Source organism: Homo sapiens, chromosome 9, assembly GCF_000001405.40.
Source record: "Homo sapiens chromosome 9, GRCh38.p14 Primary Assembly".
Lineage (NCBI taxonomy): Eukaryota > Metazoa > Chordata > Mammalia > Primates > Hominidae > Homo > Homo sapiens.
In genome coordinates, this window is record NC_000009.12 from 115,119,330 (window position 1) to 115,139,430 (window position 20,101).

Sequence of the window (20,101 nt, forward strand, 5' to 3'; positions counted from 1 at the left end):
AGTGTCTCTTTTTTACACAAGAAAACTGACGTTTAGAGAAGTAATGAAACTTTACCAAGGGAATACACCTGGGAAGTGTTTATATTACAACACTGGGCTCCAGAGATCTATTACACGTTACTGTTTAGGAATAGGGTATGATGATATTTAAACAATGTTTTATGCTGTATTAGATTGTTAACACCATTTGTGTAGAAATCACAGCCATATTTGAATATGGAAAATATATTTATTTGCTCCATAAAGCTAATTAGGAGAGATCTTTGATTTTTAAAAATTAACTACTAATAATGGAGGTCTCAATTATCCACTTATTTTCAATATTAAATGATATCATCCCCACAGTTATTATTGTTGCTGTGGGCCTCAGTTTCCCCATCTGAAAAAAAAAGCAAGACACGATTAGGTCATCCTACGGTTGCTTTGGCTGTAGTATTTTAGGATTCTCTGCTAAAGTGACCCTCCCAGACAGCAAGAAAGCCCATAAATAGTCATGTCATAAAACCGCTCATTTGAACTTTTGATCCATTTTGGCTGATTCAAATGTTGGTTGTTTGGGAAGTTTTAAATTCTGTGCTTTAGCCAAAGGATATTTCAGTAGCATGAAGCTGTGTCTCAACCAGCAGTGAGTGGTTCCTACTGAGTTAATCTCTTGGGTTAGGGATTAAAATATTAGAATAGTGTACAATATATGTCATATGGTATATAAACTATATTTGTATAGAACATATAATCAATATATTTATAATTCTATGTGAGTTTTTAAATAAGACAAGAGCGCATGCTAGAAAACTAGATAGATATGGCTTTTTCGGGGAATGTCTCAAACTCGAACTCCTCTCCCCAGTTCTTTAGGATTCTACAATCGTTGATTAGTGTCTACCACAAGTGGTATGGTCAATCACAGGGAAACTAAGCCAAATATGACCAGGCTGGCCCTCAAAGCAGGAAAAGGCTAGCAGAGGTGACAAACAAGAATACTATTATGGGTTAAGTTAACAACTATCATATAAGTGTATTCTGATAACATAGAGAAGAGATGATTTATGCATTTTTAGGAGAGGCTACTTGTAAAAGGCATTTTCTCCAAAAAGCTATGTGGCATCTTAAGCTTTTTGGCATTTGAGTAAGGAGTGCCCAGACGAGGACGTGTTTTCCATCCCTGTACTGTTCGCAGCCTCTGTTTCTGGTAGATGGGTCCATATGCACCAGGTACTCTACAATACCCAAACTTTGTTCATGCTAGGATGATGCCCTAGGCTCCTCACCTCCATGCCCTCACATCTATTTATCATCCATTTCTGATCTGACTTCACTATGGAGCTTCCTAAATGGAAGAAATCCATCTAGGAAGAGATGTTTCTATGCACTATGGCATTTGTAACTCTATTAGGACATCCATTGCATCTACATGGTATAATTACACATGTGCATGTCTAGATTTTCCTCCTAGATGCTAGGCTTCCTGAGGCTGGTGATCACACTTGCTTTTTCTGTACCTGGCATAGAGCCTTGGGTATCATAGAAGCTCAGTAAATGTTTATAGAATGAATGAAGTAATGGAGGAACAAATAAATGTTTGACATGTTGTGCTTTATAATTAAATTCTTCCTTTTACAACCATAGAACCTGAAAAGGAAACTGGATTATTGTGTCCAATGCTTCCATCGCACAGATCAGAAAGTGGGGTGCTGAGAGGAAGAATGACTTGTCTGAAGCCACTATGCCTGCTTTCCAGGAAGAAAACTGTCACAATCAGAACTGAGCAACCAAGCCACACTAGACATTACAGCAGAGGAAGTTTATGGAAATGAAGAACCATTTTTCCTCCTGTTTGGCAGAGGCCATACCTCTTGGCATCTAATCCCTCATGGTTGCATCCTTCTGAGAAGCATAAGCACTTTTTTCCACTTGAGAGGGTAGAATGAATGCATGTAAACACCACCCCTGCACAGAGCTTCCTGCCAAAGACTGATTTTGTTGTTGCTTGTTTGCAGTTCTTATTCAGGAGTTGCTGGTGGAGGCTGTGGTTTAGAGACCAGAGGAATGTCATGGTTTGCCTCAGGTGAGATCATTCTCATTTCTTTAAAGGTCTGTTAAATGTAATACTTTTTCTTCCAGACAGAACAGACAATGAGTGGAATTTTGGCCAGGACTAGTGCTGAGGAAGCTGAGTGTCCACTTCCCCATGGAATCCCCTGCTTCCTACTCTGATTACATACTCCTTCACTGTTCCCAACCTTCCTCCTCCTCTTCCCGGGATTCATCTCATCTGGTGTGCTAACTCCAGTCCAAAAGTCTCATGTGACTCCATAATTACCAGAAATCTTTTCCAAAGCCGGGATGGATCTCTGATCCCACACAGTGGGCCAGTCATTTAATTAAATGCATTTTGTTAGAGTCAAGGTTTCCCAACTTGCTTGCAGATCATTGTTGAGTGGTCTTTTCCAACTCTTCTTGCTTTTCCTTCGACAACAAAGGACAAAATCAAGTTCAAAGACCATATGGAGTGTGTGGCAAGACATATGAGAGCTTCTCTGATGGATGGACTATGGCAATTTAGCTGCGCCATCAACCAAGAAGTCATGCCTGGTCAGCACAGCAGAGTGGAGAGCATTGGTTGAGTGTCTAAGTCTTGATGCTGCATCAACTCGCTGTGTGACTTTGGGAAAATCGCTTTCCCCGCTGACACACAGGGTCCTGGTTAGCAAGTGGGGAATTCCCAGGGATTATAGCAACTCAAAACTCTCAAGTAAAATCTTTAAAGAAATAATTTAGAAGTCTCCAAGCCTTTGCACATTCACTTCCCTAGGAAGAACCCTGTCTTATTGCCATGACAAATTCCTTTATTATTTTTTTCAAGAGTTCCTTCATAGTGCTTCTTCTAACAAAGTTTTATGACCCTCACATCCAGAGAGAAGGGCCTCTCCTTCATGCTCATCTACACCACCATTTTTTAACTTTTAGTATGTTGCACATTTTATTTCTCTTGCCTGTTTACCCTGCTAGATCATGGACACCTGAGGGTAGACACTGTGCCTTTCCATCTGTTTGTCAGCAGTTCTCTTTGTTGCCAGCATCTGTTGATGGCTGCTGCCTATGTCATGTTATTTGTTAATTATTTTGAATATCATTCCTACATATCATAGTGTTTAGAATAGCATACGACCTGTCACAGATTTTGGAGGTAAGCAATAAAGGCATTCTTGAAGTGACTTTTATGAAATGATTAGAGACCTTAATTGTTATCATCAATTTACTCATTCATTTGCCCAGCTGGTCTGTGAGGACTCCTTGAGGCCAAGGACTGTGCTTTTCACCTGTACAGACCCAAAGCACTTGGAGGTTGATTAATGTTCCTATGAAATGATTGACTGATCAACTAATTGGCTGCATAATGGAAAATATATGATATTAGCACACAGTCTTGGGTTCTATTTGGCCCAACTGCTTACAATGTGAATTACCTTGAGAAAAGCATGTCCCCTCTCTGAAGCTCCTCCTCTTCTTCTTGGGATTCATCTGGTTTCCTGTTTTATAAAACTGAGATAAAAATCTGTACCTTGAGTACCTTTCAAAATTGGTATGAAGACCAAGTAAGAGGGTGTAAGACAAAGTGCTTAGTAAGCTGGGATGCCCTATGTAGAGTTTTTTGATGCTAAATGATGTAGTTCCCTTCCCCGCCCCCCACCCCCCAAATCCCAACAAAAAGCTCAATCTCTGCATAGCTATATTGTGTTTATGAAAGCACGGAACCCAGCTTCTATCTGAAGCACTTCTGGGCTTTGCAGGGGCTGGCAGCAGGGAGAGGGGAGTTGAAGCCACCTGGTGCTGTCTTGTTAAAATATTCAAAAGGCTGCCTCTTCGGAGGTTGAAGGGAAAGAGGAAAAGTTTAAAAAACTAGCATTGCCCAAGCTAAATTAGAAGATGTGGAGTTGTATATTTCCAACAGAGGGCTCGGAGGCAGTTTTGATCATGTTTACCGGTCTGAGCTCAGGCTGAGGTGATGAATACAAATGGCTCAAACCATCTTGGGCTTAATACAGGTCACAGAGGGAATATATAGCTTTGAAATCAATGCAAATTGAATTTCTTTCTTTGATTTTCCACAGCTGGGTTGGATACTTGTGAGGAAGTATAATTTGCTTGTTTTCCTTCTCTCTTAGGTTTCTTAAGATTTCTTTTGTGGACCACAAAGAATAACAGTGGCTAACACTGATTGAGTATTTTCTGTGATCTAGGCACTCTTGAAGCAGTTTGGATGTATTAAATTATTTAATCTTTACAATGAGCCTTTGGGTTAGTCCTATCATTGTTCCCATTTTGCAGATGGGGGGTGTGAGACATGGAGAGGTTAGGGAAATGTCCAGGGTGCATGGGTAATAAATAGTAGCAAGAGGATTCAAACCCACCAAGAGGACTCCAGCTCCCAGTTGTCTATTATTATGGGTGCTTTCTTATGTATTTAATGTAACAATTGCCCAAAGGCAAAGATGGCATTCTTTGATTCATGAACTAGATTGAGTGATTTGGAGCTTGCACATAAAGATCTGAGGAGGCAAGGTTGTCTTTGGTTATTTTCCTTTGTCCCTGTCTATTTGTGCCAATCCTGGAGTTTTGGGATTACCTAGCATGCACTTGGTTTCAAACCTTAATTTAACCAATAATAGCTACAAAAAGGAGTAGGACCTTGGGTAAATTACTTAACACCTTTCTTATAAGTTCTCCATCTGTAAAACGGGTACAATGATAACTGATACTCCTTGGAGCTAGTCTCAGGATTAAAAGAACAATACTTAGTCAAATGCTTATGCCGTTGCTTGCCACATTCTAAGTAATCTCAAAATAGTGGCCTTTGGCTATTGTAGATAAGTCACTTATTCTACTGTGAGCCTTTACTTTCTCATCTGTAAAATGATGGAAAAGATAATGTCAGAGGTATGTTTCAGAAATGTGCTCACTAAAATAAGAAGGGTTAATAAAACAAATGTACATGCAAATAAAAATATACAGCTCTTTTCATCATGGGACATAAGATTTTCAGATTGACCGAACTGTACTAGTCACCCTGTGTGCTCTAATATTCTTCATAAATTTCCCCTCCATCCTGCTATACACATGCAGTACACATGCACGCACGCACACACACACACACACACACACACAGAGAGAGAGAGCTCATTGAAATGAGTATTTTACTGAAGGGATGTTTAGTATTGCTCTGAGAGAGAAATAGTTTGAACTTCCTTTGAAAAGTAGAACTACATTTGCCCATCCAGTCAATAGCAGGCATTATTATTTTTAATCGTCTTTCAAGCCTTGTACATTCTGTTTCTCAGGTGGAAAAATTTACCCTATCCAGAGTCAGCTGGGTGGTTTCACTTGCCTCAGAGCCAGAAGCTCCCTCGGCAGGGCCTAGAGGTTGATGGATTGGCATCACATAGGTATTTGAGTCACTCTCCTCCTTGGGAAGTACTCTGGGCTGGCCCTTTGTCCCTTACCCTTCCTAAGGAGGAGAGTAAATTGACCCTCCTTATTTTAGTGAGCACATACTAGGCAGTCCTAACCTTGACTACTTCCTTGCCCCACAGCCTTCCAATGGTAGGGGTGGTGACAAATATACCCACTTGTATTTGCTAATAACATGACAAGGCATTGGCATTATCTCAGTCCTCACGCCAGGCCATTCCCCTAATACAAGTGAGAAAGCTGAGGTGAGGAGGGATCAAGAGACTTGCTGAAAGTCACACAGCTTGTATGTGGTCTCACAGAAGGTCCGCATATGAAAATTACTGAGCTACTGGGCTCTTCAGGTTTCCATTACAGAACCATCTATAAAGAGTATTATTTTATCAGTTTTATGGGGTACAGTGGTATAAAGAAGAAGCTCATGATCTGATACTAGACAGATGGGATCAATCTTAGCTCTACCATTTATTAGTGTTTGACCTTTTTTCAATTTCCTTCACTTATGTGACCCCATCTTGTATCTGAGTCTGTAAAAGAGGAGTGAGAATACTTATTTTACAGGGATAAAGGAAGGGCCATGGGAAACTGAGTAAGGATTCCCAAGATGTGTGTTTGAATCCATGGAATCTGTGAATATTATCTTGTATGGCAAAGAAGACTTTGGAGTTGTGACTAAGTTAAGGATCTTGAGGTGGGGAGACTATTTTGCATATACTTAAAAGTGTCTTTATAAGAGGAAGGCAGAGAGAGATTTGACTACAGAGGAGGAGAAGGCAGTGTGACCAAGGAACAGAGATTGGAGTGATGTGGCCACAAGCCAAGGAATGCCAGCAGACACCAGAAACTGAAAGAGGCAAAGAATGGATTCTCCCTTGGAGCCCCCAGAAAGACCAGGCCTGTTGACAACTGGATTTTAGCTTACTAAAACTCACTTCAGACCTCTGGTCTCCATAGTTGTAAGAGAATACATTTCTGTGTTATTAAGTCATTAAGTTTGTGGTAACTTGTTAGAGTAGCAATATAAAACTAATACAAGAAATAAATGGGAAAGTATCTTTGTGTTGTGCATAACAGGGCCTTAAAAACAGGAATGCTTAACTTGAACTCATGGAGATAGAGAGCAGAAGGATGGTTACCAGAGTCTGGGAAGGTTCTGGGAGGAGGGCTGGGGGGTGGGGATGGTTAATAAGTACAAAAAATAATTAGGAAGAGTAAATAAGATGTAGTATTTTGATAGCACAACAGGGTGACTATAGTCAGTAATAATTTAAATGTACATTTAAAAATAACTAAAAGAGTGTAATCGGATTATTTGTAACACAAAGGATAAATGCTTAAGGGGATGAATACCGCATTTTACATGACATGATTATTAAACAAAACCTCTCATGTACCCTGTAAATATATACACCTACTATGTACCTACAAAAAGTAATGAATTTTTAAAAATGGTAATGGTTAGTATTGGTCCAAGAGATTATTTTCTGGGAGAAATGGCATTAACTTACCTTGAAACTGGAATGCTTTTCCATAGAGATGTAGTTCTATGATGTAAATGCACATTGCTAGATTTTCAAGTAGTTTTTTTTGTCACAGCTCCTTTAACATGACATTTTAGTTGTAGGCTGAAAGACAGAGAAGGAAAGGGAAGTTGGAGGGAGTTGCAACCTCCATCATTAGCCCGACAGTTTTGAAGTGGCCTGTTGACATGGGAGCTTTGCAGTGTCGAGTGGTTTAGCCCACAGTGAGGAGTAAATCTGGACTTATACATGACATTCCTATCATTCCAGGGTCAGTCTGAACCCAGCAAGTGGCAGGCTTATCTGGGTCCCTGCTCATCCATAATTCAGAGGATTCACCCACAGCACACTTTGACAAGTGTGAAAAGAGCTATGAGACAATCCTGCTCAAGTTAGAGATAAGAAAATGGGGCCCAAAGCAGTTGCTTGTCTTGCCCACTCTGAGCTAAAATCCAGGTCTGCTCATTTGTGAAACTATGTTCCACATGGAGGAAGAAGCTTGCCTAGATTGGTGTAGAACCAGCCAAAATCAAAGGAATTTATTGCTTAAAAAAAATCCTTTACACGGATTGGGCTTCTTCACTTAGAAAGGACATAAAAAGGGGACCGAGAGGAGTAGGTGAACACACACCAGGCTCTCTACTCCCTCTGAGCTTCCGTGAGCAGTATAATGTTGCTTCTCTCTCTCTCCTGCTTTTCTCCGGTTTTGGATGTGTGCAGTGCTCTCATCGATGTGGCTGTGGTATCAGAGGACCAAAGAAGCCCCCTAGTGAGATGCCAGGCAAGTTTTTCAGACACTGTATCAGAAAGCAGCCTCTGTAGGAGAACTTCAAAGACTTTCTAAATGCTTTGGAACACCTGCCCAGGCCCACATTGGGCTCAACTTGCAGATGAATGGTATATGGGGAGTGCTCTTGGGTGAATATAGATAGATGACTCATCGTTTGAGACAGATGATGGATTTCCCTTGTGGAAATACTATATAAGGAAATTATGGTGAAAGTTTGATAATCCCCATGGACAGGAGTGGGCAGGGGCCAGGATGAATCAGTGAGACAGCTGCATTGTGGAAGACCAATCCAGGGAAGCTTACTTTGAAGTATATTTTGCCAGTGGCTCCTTTAAACTAGTAAAGTATTGCCAAGGAGAGATCTTCCGAGAGTCTGGCTTAATGAGCAGAAATCAGTCATAAGTGGTTGCTTTTGAAGGAAGTGGAAGTACTTTGGCTTTTAGCAAGTTGCAATCTTGTTTGCTCAGTTAATCTAAGAAGTAATTCATATGAAATTGCTCCTGTTCAGCCATATTTGACCTACAAAAATGATACTTTAATATGATTAAACTTAATACAGTATAAGCCCTATCACCAAATCTGTGACAAAGACAAATTCCAGACCAGACCTTGGCTAAATTTAAAAAGGTTTTGCCCACCGTCACTCTTGCGATGGAAAGACAGGCCAGGTTGGTATGGGGCAGGGTATTTGTGAAGGACAGTGAGTTAACCCCATGCTTGCAGTTCTGACAGCCATGGTTGGCAGATGAATTTTTTTCTCCCATCTGTGGATACTGTACTGATATCAACACCATGGTAGAACCTAGGTAGAGCAGGAAGACACCCAATAAAAGAGATGTCACAAGCTGATATTGTGTATCAGAGTTCAGGTTTAGGCCCTTAGAGAGCCATGGAGATGACCAGATAGCAGGGGTAAAAGGCATGGTGTTCTTGAGACTACACCTGGGCAAACATGTGAATGGATAGTTGCTATCTAATGAGCCCCATGGAAGGGAATGGAGTTTTACGCTATCACTTCTATGACACAGGGGATCTTCTGTAAATAGTGATTGTTAATTTTTATTGAGCATTTATTATGTGCTGGATACCATTTTTAGAACTTTACATACATTAACTTCATTTAATCTTCATAACATTTCTATGGATAGATACTATTATTAGTCCCAAATGAAGGCATGCGCAAGAGGAAGTTACTTGATCAATAATAAATAGCTGGTGTCAGATATGGGATTAGGACCCAAAACTCTTTACATGTTGCACAGGATCCTCTTCACTATGTTTTCCTGCAGAGGATGTTTGTATTAATCCATTCTATGCTGCTAATAAAGACATACCAGAGACTGGATAATTTATAAAGGAAAGAGGTTTAATTGACTCACAGTTTCACATGGCTGGGGAGGCCTCACAATCATGATGGGAGGCGAAGGAGGAGCAAAATAGTCTCATCTTACATGGTGGCAGACAAGAGAGAGCATGTGCAGGAGAACTCCCCCCCATCCTTTTTTTTTTTTCTTTTTTTGAGAGGGAGTTTTGCTCTGTCTCCCAGGCTGGAGTGCAGTGGCATGATCTCGGCTCACTGCAACCTCTGTCTCCCAGGTTCAAGTGATTCTCCTGCCTCAGCCTCCCAAGTAGCTGGGACTACAGGCGCATGCCACCATACCCAGCTAATTTTTTGTATTTTTAGTAGAGATGGTGTTTCACCGTGTTAGCCAGGATAGTCTCCATCTTCTGACCTTGTGATCTGCCCATCTTGGCCTCCCAAAGTGCTGAGATTACAGGCATTAGCCACCGCGCCTGGCCTGGGAACTCCCCTTTTTAAAACCATCAGCTCTCATGAGACTTATTCACTATCACGAGAACAGCATGGGAAAGACCCACCCCCATGATTCAATTACCTCACCAGTCTCTCCCATGACACATGGGAATTATGGGAGCTACAATTTAAGATGAGATTTAGGTGCGGACATAGTCAAACCATATCAATGTTTTACTGCTTTACTTTCCTTGTTGAAGGAAAGAAAAAGAAGGGAAAGAAAAAGAAGAGGAAGAAAGGAAAGGGCATGATAATATTTATTTGTATTTATTTTGTTGACTAATTCTTCCAACCATTTCTTCATTGCACTTAGATTGATGGGATACACAGGCCCTGTGCTAATAGCTATTGGCGATATAGCCACAAACACAACAGATGTAATCACTTTCCTTTTGAGCTTACCTTCTAGGGCAATGTTTCTCAACCAGGGATGGTTTACTCTCTAGAGGATATTTGCTAATGTCTGCAGGCATTTTGGCTGTCGGAGTTTGGAGGTTTGCTATGGGCATCAAGTGGGCAGAGGCCAGAGATTCTACTAAAAGTCTGCAATGCAGAGGATGGTCTCCCACAACAAATAATTCTTTGTCCCAAAATGTCAATAGTGCTGTTTGAATAATGCTGATCTAGTGAGGATGTAGGATGTTGAATCGTGACAAATATCCAACATAGAGATTGAAAAGACCTGAACTTGGACCCCAGAATCACTCTAACATTTATGACCTTGGGCAGAACTAACCCAACAGACATGCAATGGGATAGTGTGTAGAGACACAGGTTTCATGAGATGGGATAAACACTCTCTTCTAATGCAGTGTCTTAGGAAGTAAGGAGACTTGAACTGGTCATGCCACAGAGTGCATTCAGAGGGGCTGTGTCCTGAGTGAGTCACCAGGATCCCAATATCATATTTGGAGATGGAAGAAGCAGAGCTACTCACTTCTAGGGGTGCAGACCCAAAACTGAGGATATCTGCCATGGCCAGAGAGGAATGGGGCATGCAACTGGTTCCTAAATGTTCTAGGCCATGTAAGACTTCTAGATTATTGAATAAACTAGTGGACAAGAGAAGCAACACTCAACACAGCTGAGACTGAATTTTCTACCGTCACAAAGGAGTATGGCATGGTTGAAAGAAATAAAGAAGTGAGATATATCTTACCCTCAAGTATTGTAATGTACCCATTATGAGGAGATATATATATCTCCCAGCTTCTCTGGCCAGCCACAGAAATTGGTAGTTTTCTTTCTTTCAAAAGAAAACAATTGCAGTTGAAGTAATAGCTTTCCCTGTTTTTATGAAAGTTGCATGATGAGGAGATGAGACCCATGGGTATGATAAACTTTCCAATGCCTAAGCATTCTGTTTTGGATGCTAACCTCTAGTTAGGAAGTATATACGGCTTGGCTTATAAACTGTTTCCTTCGTATATTAGATGTTCCCTTCTCCAAGGACCAGGATGCTGAGACCAGAGGTTTAAGAATTTGTCTCCAAGACTCCTGAGCCCCTTATTGCTGTCTGCCTCAAGCAATCCAATAGAAACAGCTGGTTTCCTTTGGGTAACTGAGAAGAATGCTCAATGTCAAAATCATTCTCCAAGCCTTAAAATATCCAACAAGATTTAACCGGTACCTTGAACAGTGGCTGGCTCATACTAAGCACTCTATAAATATTTGTTATAAGAATTTATGGCAGAATCTAATCACCTTTGAGGTGCTAGCTTGGATATGGAAAATTTGGCTCACAACTTTCCTTGTAAAAGCAGCCAATTAAATTCAATACAGAGTTATTAATTATCTACACTTTTCTGGAACAATAAAAATAACAGCCCCAACCTTTTGTTCTTGGTGATTAGATGTTGTATGAGCAGGGTTGGCAGTAGTTAGGGTTGCCAAAGCCTGGAACTATAATTTTTTTGGAACTCCAATTCAGTGGGCCAATGCCCCCTAAGGCATCAATATCTTTATTTTACAAATACTTGTTAGATTCAGACATGTATCACACCTTGGCTGCAAGTAATGGGACCATGTCATAGGGATTGAAAGTGATCCATCCATGGTGGCGGGCGCCTGTAATCCCAGCTACTGAGGAGGCTGAGGCAGGAGAATGGCATGAACCCGGGAGGCGGAGCTTGCAGTGAGCTGAGATTGCACCACTGCACTCCAGCCTGGGTGACAGAGCAAGACTCCATCTCAAAAAATAAAAATAAAAAAATAAAAAATAAAGTGATCCATCCAGCCCTGAAGGAGTTTATAACCAAAGAAACAGTAATTGTAAAACAATGTCATAAGTGCTGCAGTACAGTCACCATAAGAGGCTATGATTGGGACACAAAGAGATAGAGAATCTTATATTTCCATTGCTTGAGTATTTTTAATGTCCGAAAACTCATTGTCATAGAAGGAACTACAGAGAAAGAAAGTGCACTAATGTTTACTATGCATTGAGCATATTTTAAATAAGTACTTACTATATGCCAAGTACTATGGGAGGTTCTGAAGAGGCAGAGAATAAAAGAGACAACCATTAAACACACAAATACACAAATAAACATGTAATTCCAAAGAGCTATGAGTGCAATGAAAGAAAAGTCAATTGCCTATGAGACACTCTATATTAGTTTCCACTTCCTGGTTTTAGTTAATCCCATCAATCCTGAAATAAGTATTTTAATCTGTATTTTGCTAAGGAGTTTACTGAGGCTTCCAGCTGTAAAGTGTTTTGCCAAAAGCCACCCGGCTGGTAAGTTTTGGAGCTGGGATTAGAAGCCAGAATTGTCCAACGCCAAGCCCATGCACTTCACTCCAAGTCCTCATAAGGGAGCCTCATGAGATATGAGCCACCACATTCAGAGACAGTTTCACTAATTTATTAGAAGCATGCTTATTAAAACGCATTCTTTCTATTCAGCCTGTTATTTACTTTATACTCCTTTAACATCTACCACCCATATAGGGGTTAATTATATACTATCTCATGTTGATTTATAAATGTGGATTAGTCTTGTTTAAGTAAGGACATGGAAAGTCTGATTCTCCCACTCAAATCCACCCACCTTCTGTCTAGGCTGATGCTGGATGTAGAAGTTCCTATTAAATACTCCCTGGTTTAAAGCACAGATCTTGAAATTTTTATGGTATTGGATACAGACTCCAGAGTAATGGACTAAGAGAACCAAATGGCTCTGAGTTCCCTTAAAATCATGCAGAGCTGTGTTCAAATCCCATCTCAGTCCTTACTAGCTATATGCTTCTAGGCAAGACTTTCACACCTCTGGGCCTCAGAGTCCTTACCTATGACAGGGAGATCAGACGCCTACCTTCAGTGTTCTTTTGAGGGGTCAATGAGTTAAAGCGCTTAGCACCATGCCTAGGACACAGAAAGCACTAAGTAGATGGTACTTATTATCACTTCTAGGTTTTCCTCTTTATTGGAAGGCTCTCACCTGAACCATCAAAGCTAGCTGCTCAACTTTTAATTCATTTCTAAAACTACATAAGGAGTTGGAAACTTACTGTATTCTATTTTTTTCTGGATTTTTTTCCCTTGCTTTTAATAGAAAGGGAGTCTGATTTGTTCCACTTTTTCGGTGCCAGTGGTTCTCGTTCTCGACGGGGGGCAATTTTGTCCCCCATTGTTTGGAAATGACTGGAGACATTTTGGGCTGTCACAACTAGGCTGGGTGGAGATGCTATTGACAACTAGTGAATGGAGGTCAGGGATGCTGCTGTACCTCCTACAATGCACAGGGCAGTTCCCCCCACACTTCTCAACAAAGAATTATCCAGCTGAAAAATGTCAATAGTGCTGAGATTGAGAAACCCTGGTTTATAGCGGCTAGCAGACCGGAGCCCGGGTGAGCTCCAAGATGATGTCATGCTGGGGGAGACCCACGCTGGCCTGCGGTGAGACACATTACACATGGGGGATCGCACCATTTCCTTGCAGACCCCTCACCTCACCACCGCCGCCGCCTCATATCCTGCTCAGGTCCCTCCTGGGAACCCAGGGAAACCTCGCAGCAGATGGGGTTTCGTTTAGTCACATTCTCTGCAGCCAGATTGGATTACATCGCCAGCAGCTCTGGCTCTGAGAGACCAAAGTTGCTTGATGAGCTCTGGGCTGGCCTTTCACCTTCCAGGACCCAAGCTCACCCCAACACACAGGAGGAGAGGGGCTTGTTTGTGGTTCTATCTCTCAAAAGGACAAAAGCTGAGAAACAGAAAAAGCCAAAAGGATATTGGTATCTTCTGTTGAAAATGGTGCCTGGATATTTCTGTCTTTATTTCTTGTGTTTATTATGACAGGTGATAAATATTCCGTAGTCTTTTTGAAGAAATATATAAATTATAGAGATCTCCAGGGCGTCTGTATTTCATACGTGTCTTTGTTATAGGCTGTTAGAACACCACAGACTGGGTGGCTTATAAACAATATAAATGTTATTTCTTATAGTTCTGGAGGCTGGGAAGTTCAGGATCAAGGTACCAGCAAATTCAGTGTTTGGTGAGGACCTGCTTCCTGGTTCATAGACAGCCATATTCTTGCTGTGTCCTCACTTGACAGAAGGGACAAGAAAGCTCTCTGAGCCCTTTTTCATGAGGGCATTAATTCCTTCATGAGGGCACTGCCCTCACCACCTTCCTGCCGGTGGTTCCACCTCTAACTACCATCACATTGGGGATTATATTTCAACATAATTTTAGGGGGATACAAATATTCAGCCTATAGCAATGTAAAAGAGTCAAAATGGCTATTAATTTTTGAGCAGTTATAATAACATAAGTACTGTGTTATGTGTTTAACAAGTATTGCCTCATGTAATTCTAAAACGATGATGTGTAGATTAGCTTCTCCACTTGAAAGCAGATGTAATGGAAGATCAGCAAAGCTGGCTCACTTCAGGGCCACAGCTACTAAGTGGAAAAGCCAGGATTCCTACTCCTCTCTCACTTCCTGCAAGACCTAAGTCTTAACCACTAAGCCAGATGCTTCTTACTAAATGGTTTAGTTTGGTTCGAGTGAGAAGATAGCTAATGTTTTGCAGAAAGCATGACTAATCCAAGATCTTCCAGCAACTGAGGAGTGATGGAAGCATTTCTGATTCCTCTTGTTGTTGCTCTTTAGCAAATGGGTGAAACAGGTAAAATGAGTTACCAAAGCCTCTCATCTCTCACCTGGGCATGAATTCTATGCCTTTCCAATATACACATGCTGCCTCCTGCCTCAAATTCCAGGTGTTCCCTTTTACTAGATACTACGCTAGGAACCAGGGACCTAAACATTCAGTACCTGCTCTTCAAGAAGCTTACAGTCAAGTGTGAAAACAAGACAAGGAACAATGTTATTACAATGCAGCAGAATAAATCCTGTGACTGAGGTAGGTACATGCTAGATGTAGGTTGTCTAACCCAGGCTATAGGGAGGATTAGCTGATTTATCTCTGAGTTTTGAAACATCCTCAAAGCAAAGTAGTTTGGGAAGGATAATCTGGTAGAATATACAGCATATGCAAAAGCAAAGAGGCATAGAAGAGACTTCAGGAGCAGTGAGTAGTTTGGGAGAGATGGGCACATGATCCATAGGGGAGAGATCATGATGAGTACTGTGTGCTAAGCAGTGTGCATTTATTCGGTTTTTCTGACCTCCCAAAAATAACAATGTCCACTTAGGAATAGAGATTTTCACAATATACAAGGGAACTGCCCACAGCTAACCCTTATGAGAACTTGCTGGTCTTCCATAGGGATTTCGGCACCACCAGCCACCCCAGTGTGCTTGGCACTAGGTTAGGGACTTCTAGTCAAGTGATCCTTGAGGCCGTAGTCCACATACAACATCTGCTACACATTCTAGTCTCTCATGGCTATGATGCATGCCGGAGTGGGCACTGATTCTCTACCTACTTAGGTACGATTCTGTTTTGCCAAGGATTCTCCTATACAATGATGTCCTTCCTCCCTCCATGCTCAGGGAACTAGATAGCTGTTTCCTTTCTTCAGAGAGGAAGATAGACTCACTGTATAGTTACTATGAAGAGATTTAGCACCTTCCCGCCACCAGCATCTATGGAAGATACAGGGGATGAGGATTCTTTGGGAACTAGAATCTAAACTTCTCGTTTGTAAGCTATTTTTGGATAGGAAGCAGAGCCACATGGAAAAGATTTGATAATGTTAACAAATGACACAATAATGACTAGCGAAGCCAGGAAGTGTTTCTTTTTATGCTCAAATGATGCACTTCAGTTACATAGACTTCTGAGAAGATAGCCTTCCCATTCTATCTAAAATGCCATTACATCTTCTAATATGCAACAAAATGCCACCTGATCCATAAATCATTCCTCCATATTTAGCCCAGAATACCGCTTTATATTTTAGTTTTATCTCTATTCCTTGATTACCCTACTTTGCCAGGATCCTAAGTAATTGCTTTCTTATGTTCCCCTCTCATGAGATTATAAAATAAGGAGAGCAACATTTATTATGAACCTCTATGTGGCAGGCACTGGGATAATTGTTTTATAAATTCTTGTTCATGGAATCTTCCCAAATTGACTATGGGCAGATGTTACCAGCCCCATATTAAAAATAAAACTGGGTGTGATGGCATGTTCCTGTACTCCTGTGACTCAGAAGGCTGAGGTGGGAGGATCGCATGAGCCCAGGAGTTCAAGTCTAGCCTGGGCAACATAGCAAGACCCTGTCTCTGAAAAAAAAAATAACAAAAATGAGTAAAATGGAGGTTCTGAGATTTTAAACTCCTGGAGGGCTTAAAATTTATGCCTTTATTTAGCTCTGTATGCTCCACCAACGTGACATAACAGTTCTCTGAATATGGTAAGAACAAAGTGAGTTTTATTGAAATTCTTGGACTATTTCTTTTCCCTACTGAAGTAAGGCAATCTCCATCCAAGGTTCATCTTATATTAAAAAAAAATATGCTAGGAAATCTCAACAGTGTTGTATCAAAGGAGTCAGAGCATTAAATATTTTGGGCTCCTGCCACAGGCATTTACTGTGAAGTAAAGGACATGTATTGTTCTGTGCTTCATCGTGATAGAAAGAACGCCAGCGACGTCATGAAATATTTTAGGATCAGATTTGCAACACTGTGCTTCCAAACAGCTGTGTGTCACAATGAGGGGCAGGGCCTGGGCATCTGGGCCACCGGTGTTCGGCTCCTTCTCTTCTTCTCTCTTGACCTTTAGCAGACTCCGTGTCTCTTTCCTTTGATGGAACAGCTAATGAAACACATCCTTTCCTTGAGTCAATCCCTGATTTCAGAAAAATTTTTAGACATCTGTGTGTGTGTGTGTGTGTGTGTGTGTATGTGTGTGTGTGTGTGTGTGTGTATGTTGGGGGGATGGAGGGAAGAGTGAGGAAATAGTTTCCATTCAGTAGTCTGGAGCCTGATCTATTGGAAAATCCCCACCCCCCAAAAGGAAATGCTACAAGAGCTCTTCTTTCACAGAGTTTGGAGTGGATTCTTTTCTGTTGTGAAGTGCAGATGTGAAAAATTCACCTGTTCTCACCTATGGTCAGACAGACTGTTCAGACTTTTAAAACTGTGGCAGGAGCATTTGCTAGCCCTAGTTGCCAATGAGCTGGATATGTGGGTTTCCCCCACTAAACGGAACTTGGTCTTATGGCAATTATAAAGCCACATTGACCATACTTGAAAGAGAGAGGCTGGGGGTGGCCCTAATGAGTTAATGGCAATGTTCAAGTTCACTTAACTTTTGTAATCATCCAGTTTGCAAATGCATAGCATCTACTAGGAGAATGTATAATATTCATTAGGAGTTAAAGATGATAATGAGAATATTTATTCATTTGTTTAACACCTATTTGCCTGTCTCTTGCTATGCATTGAGTATTGTGCTGGGAAGTGAGGAATTTAGATGAACCAGGGGGTTTGTCCTTAAGGGGCTCATAGCTTAGAACAGGAGACAGACAAGCAAAGTGACAATGGTAACCCATTGTGATCAATGTCATTAAAGGGAAAGTACAGGATTTAGGAACTAATAGTGGCTCAGGGTGTGGGGAAGGAAGGCTTGCTAGAGAGGATTACACTTGAACAGAATCTTGAATATGATTTAGAGCTTGGGAGGAAAAGGGAAGAAAGGAGGCAGTGGGAGAGAGGCAGAGATGTCTATCCATACCAGAGTGTGAAGAGGAGAAACAGCATGCTGCATTTGGGGAAAGTCCATGGAGTGAGGGTCAGGAATGGAGGGAGGGTTTGGATGAGACAGATGAAATTGGCAGAATCTCATGTAGGACCTTGAGAGCCCTGGGAAGGATTTTGAACTCTTCTTTTCTAGAAAAGTTATAGGAGGCCATTTTTGGATGTCAACAAGGAGGAATAAAGATAGATTTGTGCTTGAAAAATATCATCTTGGCTATAATTGTGAAGCAGAATTGCAAGCAGATTGGAGTTGGAGAGACCAGCAAGGGGCTGCTGTAGTCATTTAAGCAAGAAAGGATGGTGGCTCAAACCAGGGTGGGAGTTGCAGGGATGGAGGGAATTGGGCAGAGTCTAGTGATATTAAAGACAAACTTGCAAGGGTTTGGTGATTGATGGGATATGGGTAAAGAGTAGAGAGAAGTAATATCCTGAAATGGAATTGGCAGGTAGGGAGAAGAGGGAGAAGTGACTGTTGTTTGGGCCTGGTAGTTCCAGCTTAGGAATAGAGGCAATCGAAACAAAAAAATTCTGTTGTAGACCTGGCCTCAGCAGGAAACCGTGCCTGTGCTCTCCTTATCTCCAGACTTGGCCTGCCAGCACATACATATATCACCCTCTCACTTAAGATGGAGCTAACAGCAGGCAAAGTTCATCTCTTAGAGGCCCTTACCCTATTGGTTTGGCATGTCTTTATTCTCACAGTCCACAGCAGTAAAATAATAATATTGCTTACAGAGGGATGGCACCATGGTTAAGTGCATGTAAGTCAGACTGCTGGATTTGTAAATAGGCTCATTCTTAATTAGCTATGTGAGCTTGGACAAGTTACTGAAGCCATCTGTGATTCAGTGTCCACTTTGATAAAGTAGGGGCCATAGCTCTTATTTGACAAATTTGTTTAAGAGAAAAAAAAAAGCAGAATTATATGTACATGAGTAGGCACCTGATAAATACTGATAAAACAAATGAATAGTTCTTACCTTATTCTTGGTTCATTTTCTCTTCTCAGTATATAATACTGGATGCACTTTGTCTTGGGGATTCAGAGCCCTGCTTTCTTTAAGGGAGAAAGGGAAGTTGAAAGGTCAATTAAAGTTTTTTGGAGAATCTGTATCCTGTGCTGCATTAGGCATTTTTCTCATGTCCTCTAACCTCGGATTATCATTCTAAAGTCTTTATCTCATCATGTTCCTTCCTGTTGCCCAAAGGATCAAGTTCAATTTTCAAATGTTGAGTAAGGCTTTCTAGAGTCTGAATGTTTGTGTCCTCTCCAAGTTCATGTTGAAACCAAATCCTCAATGTGATGGTATTTGGAGGTGGGGCCTTTGAAAGGTGATTAAGTCATGAGGTGGAGTCCTCATGAATGGGACTAATGCCTTCATAAAAGAGACCCCAGATAGCCGCCTTTCTTCTTCCACTATATAAGGGCACAGCAAGAAGACACCAGGAAGGGGCCCTCACTAGACACTGAATCTACTGCTGCCTTAATCTTGGACTTCCCAGCCTCTAGAACTGTGAGCAATACATTTCTGTTGTTTATAAGCCACCCACTGTATGGTATTCCGTTACAGCCACCTGAAAAGACTAAGACAACTTTCATGGCCCTTTGTGACCTATCCCCAACTTGCTTCTTTAGCCTTATCTCCTGCCTCCACCTGCTAGGTGCTGACTCTACCCTCTGCTTTAGATATGATATATTTTCTATTTATCAAAATGTCATGACCACATATGGCCCCATGCTAAAATGTGTGCTGTACCTTCTGCTGGGACTGTCCTCAGTTCTTACTCCTTAATTAAGGCTTTGCTCAAATATTACCACCTCTTATAGAATTGATCATTCTATCCTCTGATCCCTGGAACCTTGAGTTTTTTCTAATATAGAGCTTATTGCAGAGCATCTCAATTATTTGTTGAGTTCATCTTTCCCTTAGTAAACTGTGACTCTTCAAGGGAAAAACCTGTACCTTCTTGGCCTTGGTAGCCCCCAATCCTAACCCAGAACGTGGCGCAGAGTAAGTGTTTAGGAAAACTTTACTGAATGAATCAGTGGATAAGCAGATTCAAGTTAAAACTGAAACAACAGTAGGTAGATGACATACCTTTTTTCCTCCCACCACCTTCTTGCTTTGCCTTGCCTTCACCCCAGCTCAGCAATCTGCTCAGAAAAGAGAGCATCAGAACTGACCAAAAAAGGAAGGAATATCCTAAGAAATGATGCAGCTACATATTGCTTGGCTTGTGTTTCCTAGATAAGGCATTGATTCCTAGGCACTAGAATTATATACTATAATTAAAGAGATTTTTTTTTAAATCTATCAACA

At 41.2% G+C, this 20,101-nt stretch overlaps 2 long non-coding RNA genes across 2 annotated transcripts in view, besides 2 other annotated features; one reads left to right on the top strand and one right to left on the bottom strand.

The window, feature by feature from the left end:
• Positions 1-3,215, top strand: part of LOC124902255 (uncharacterized) — a 35,154-nt gene extending 31,939 nt beyond the window's left edge. The window contains exon 3 of the long non-coding RNA XR_007061746.1: positions 1,627-3,215. This is a non-coding gene — a long non-coding RNA (uncharacterized LOC124902255). The remainder of the gene's footprint in view (positions 1-1,626) is intronic.
• On the bottom strand, positions 210-19,080 carry LOC101928748 (uncharacterized). Its single transcript, NR_110950.1, has 6 exons — positions 18,761-19,080; positions 8,418-8,581; positions 7,621-8,298; positions 6,978-7,094; positions 3,468-3,543; positions 210-379 (listed from the first exon to the last, which is right to left on the bottom strand). It is a non-coding gene; the product is annotated as an uncharacterized LOC101928748 (long non-coding RNA).
• Positions 13,046-13,546: an enhancer, noted in NCBI's record as "H3K4me1 hESC enhancer chr9:117894654-117895154 (GRCh37/hg19 assembly coordinates)". NCBI's record gives its function as "activates a minimal SCP1, AML or CMV promoter by ChIP-STARR-seq in naive H9 embryonic stem cells {active_cell/tissue: H9 hESC(naive)}" and the evidence as "EXISTENCE:reporter gene assay evidence [ECO:0000049][PMID:30033119]".
• Positions 13,547-14,047: an enhancer, noted in NCBI's record as "H3K4me1 hESC enhancer chr9:117895155-117895655 (GRCh37/hg19 assembly coordinates)". NCBI's record gives its function as "activates a minimal SCP1, AML or CMV promoter by ChIP-STARR-seq in naive H9 embryonic stem cells {active_cell/tissue: H9 hESC(naive)}" and the evidence as "EXISTENCE:reporter gene assay evidence [ECO:0000049][PMID:30033119]".
• Positions 19,081-20,101: the final 1,021 nt, after the last annotated feature.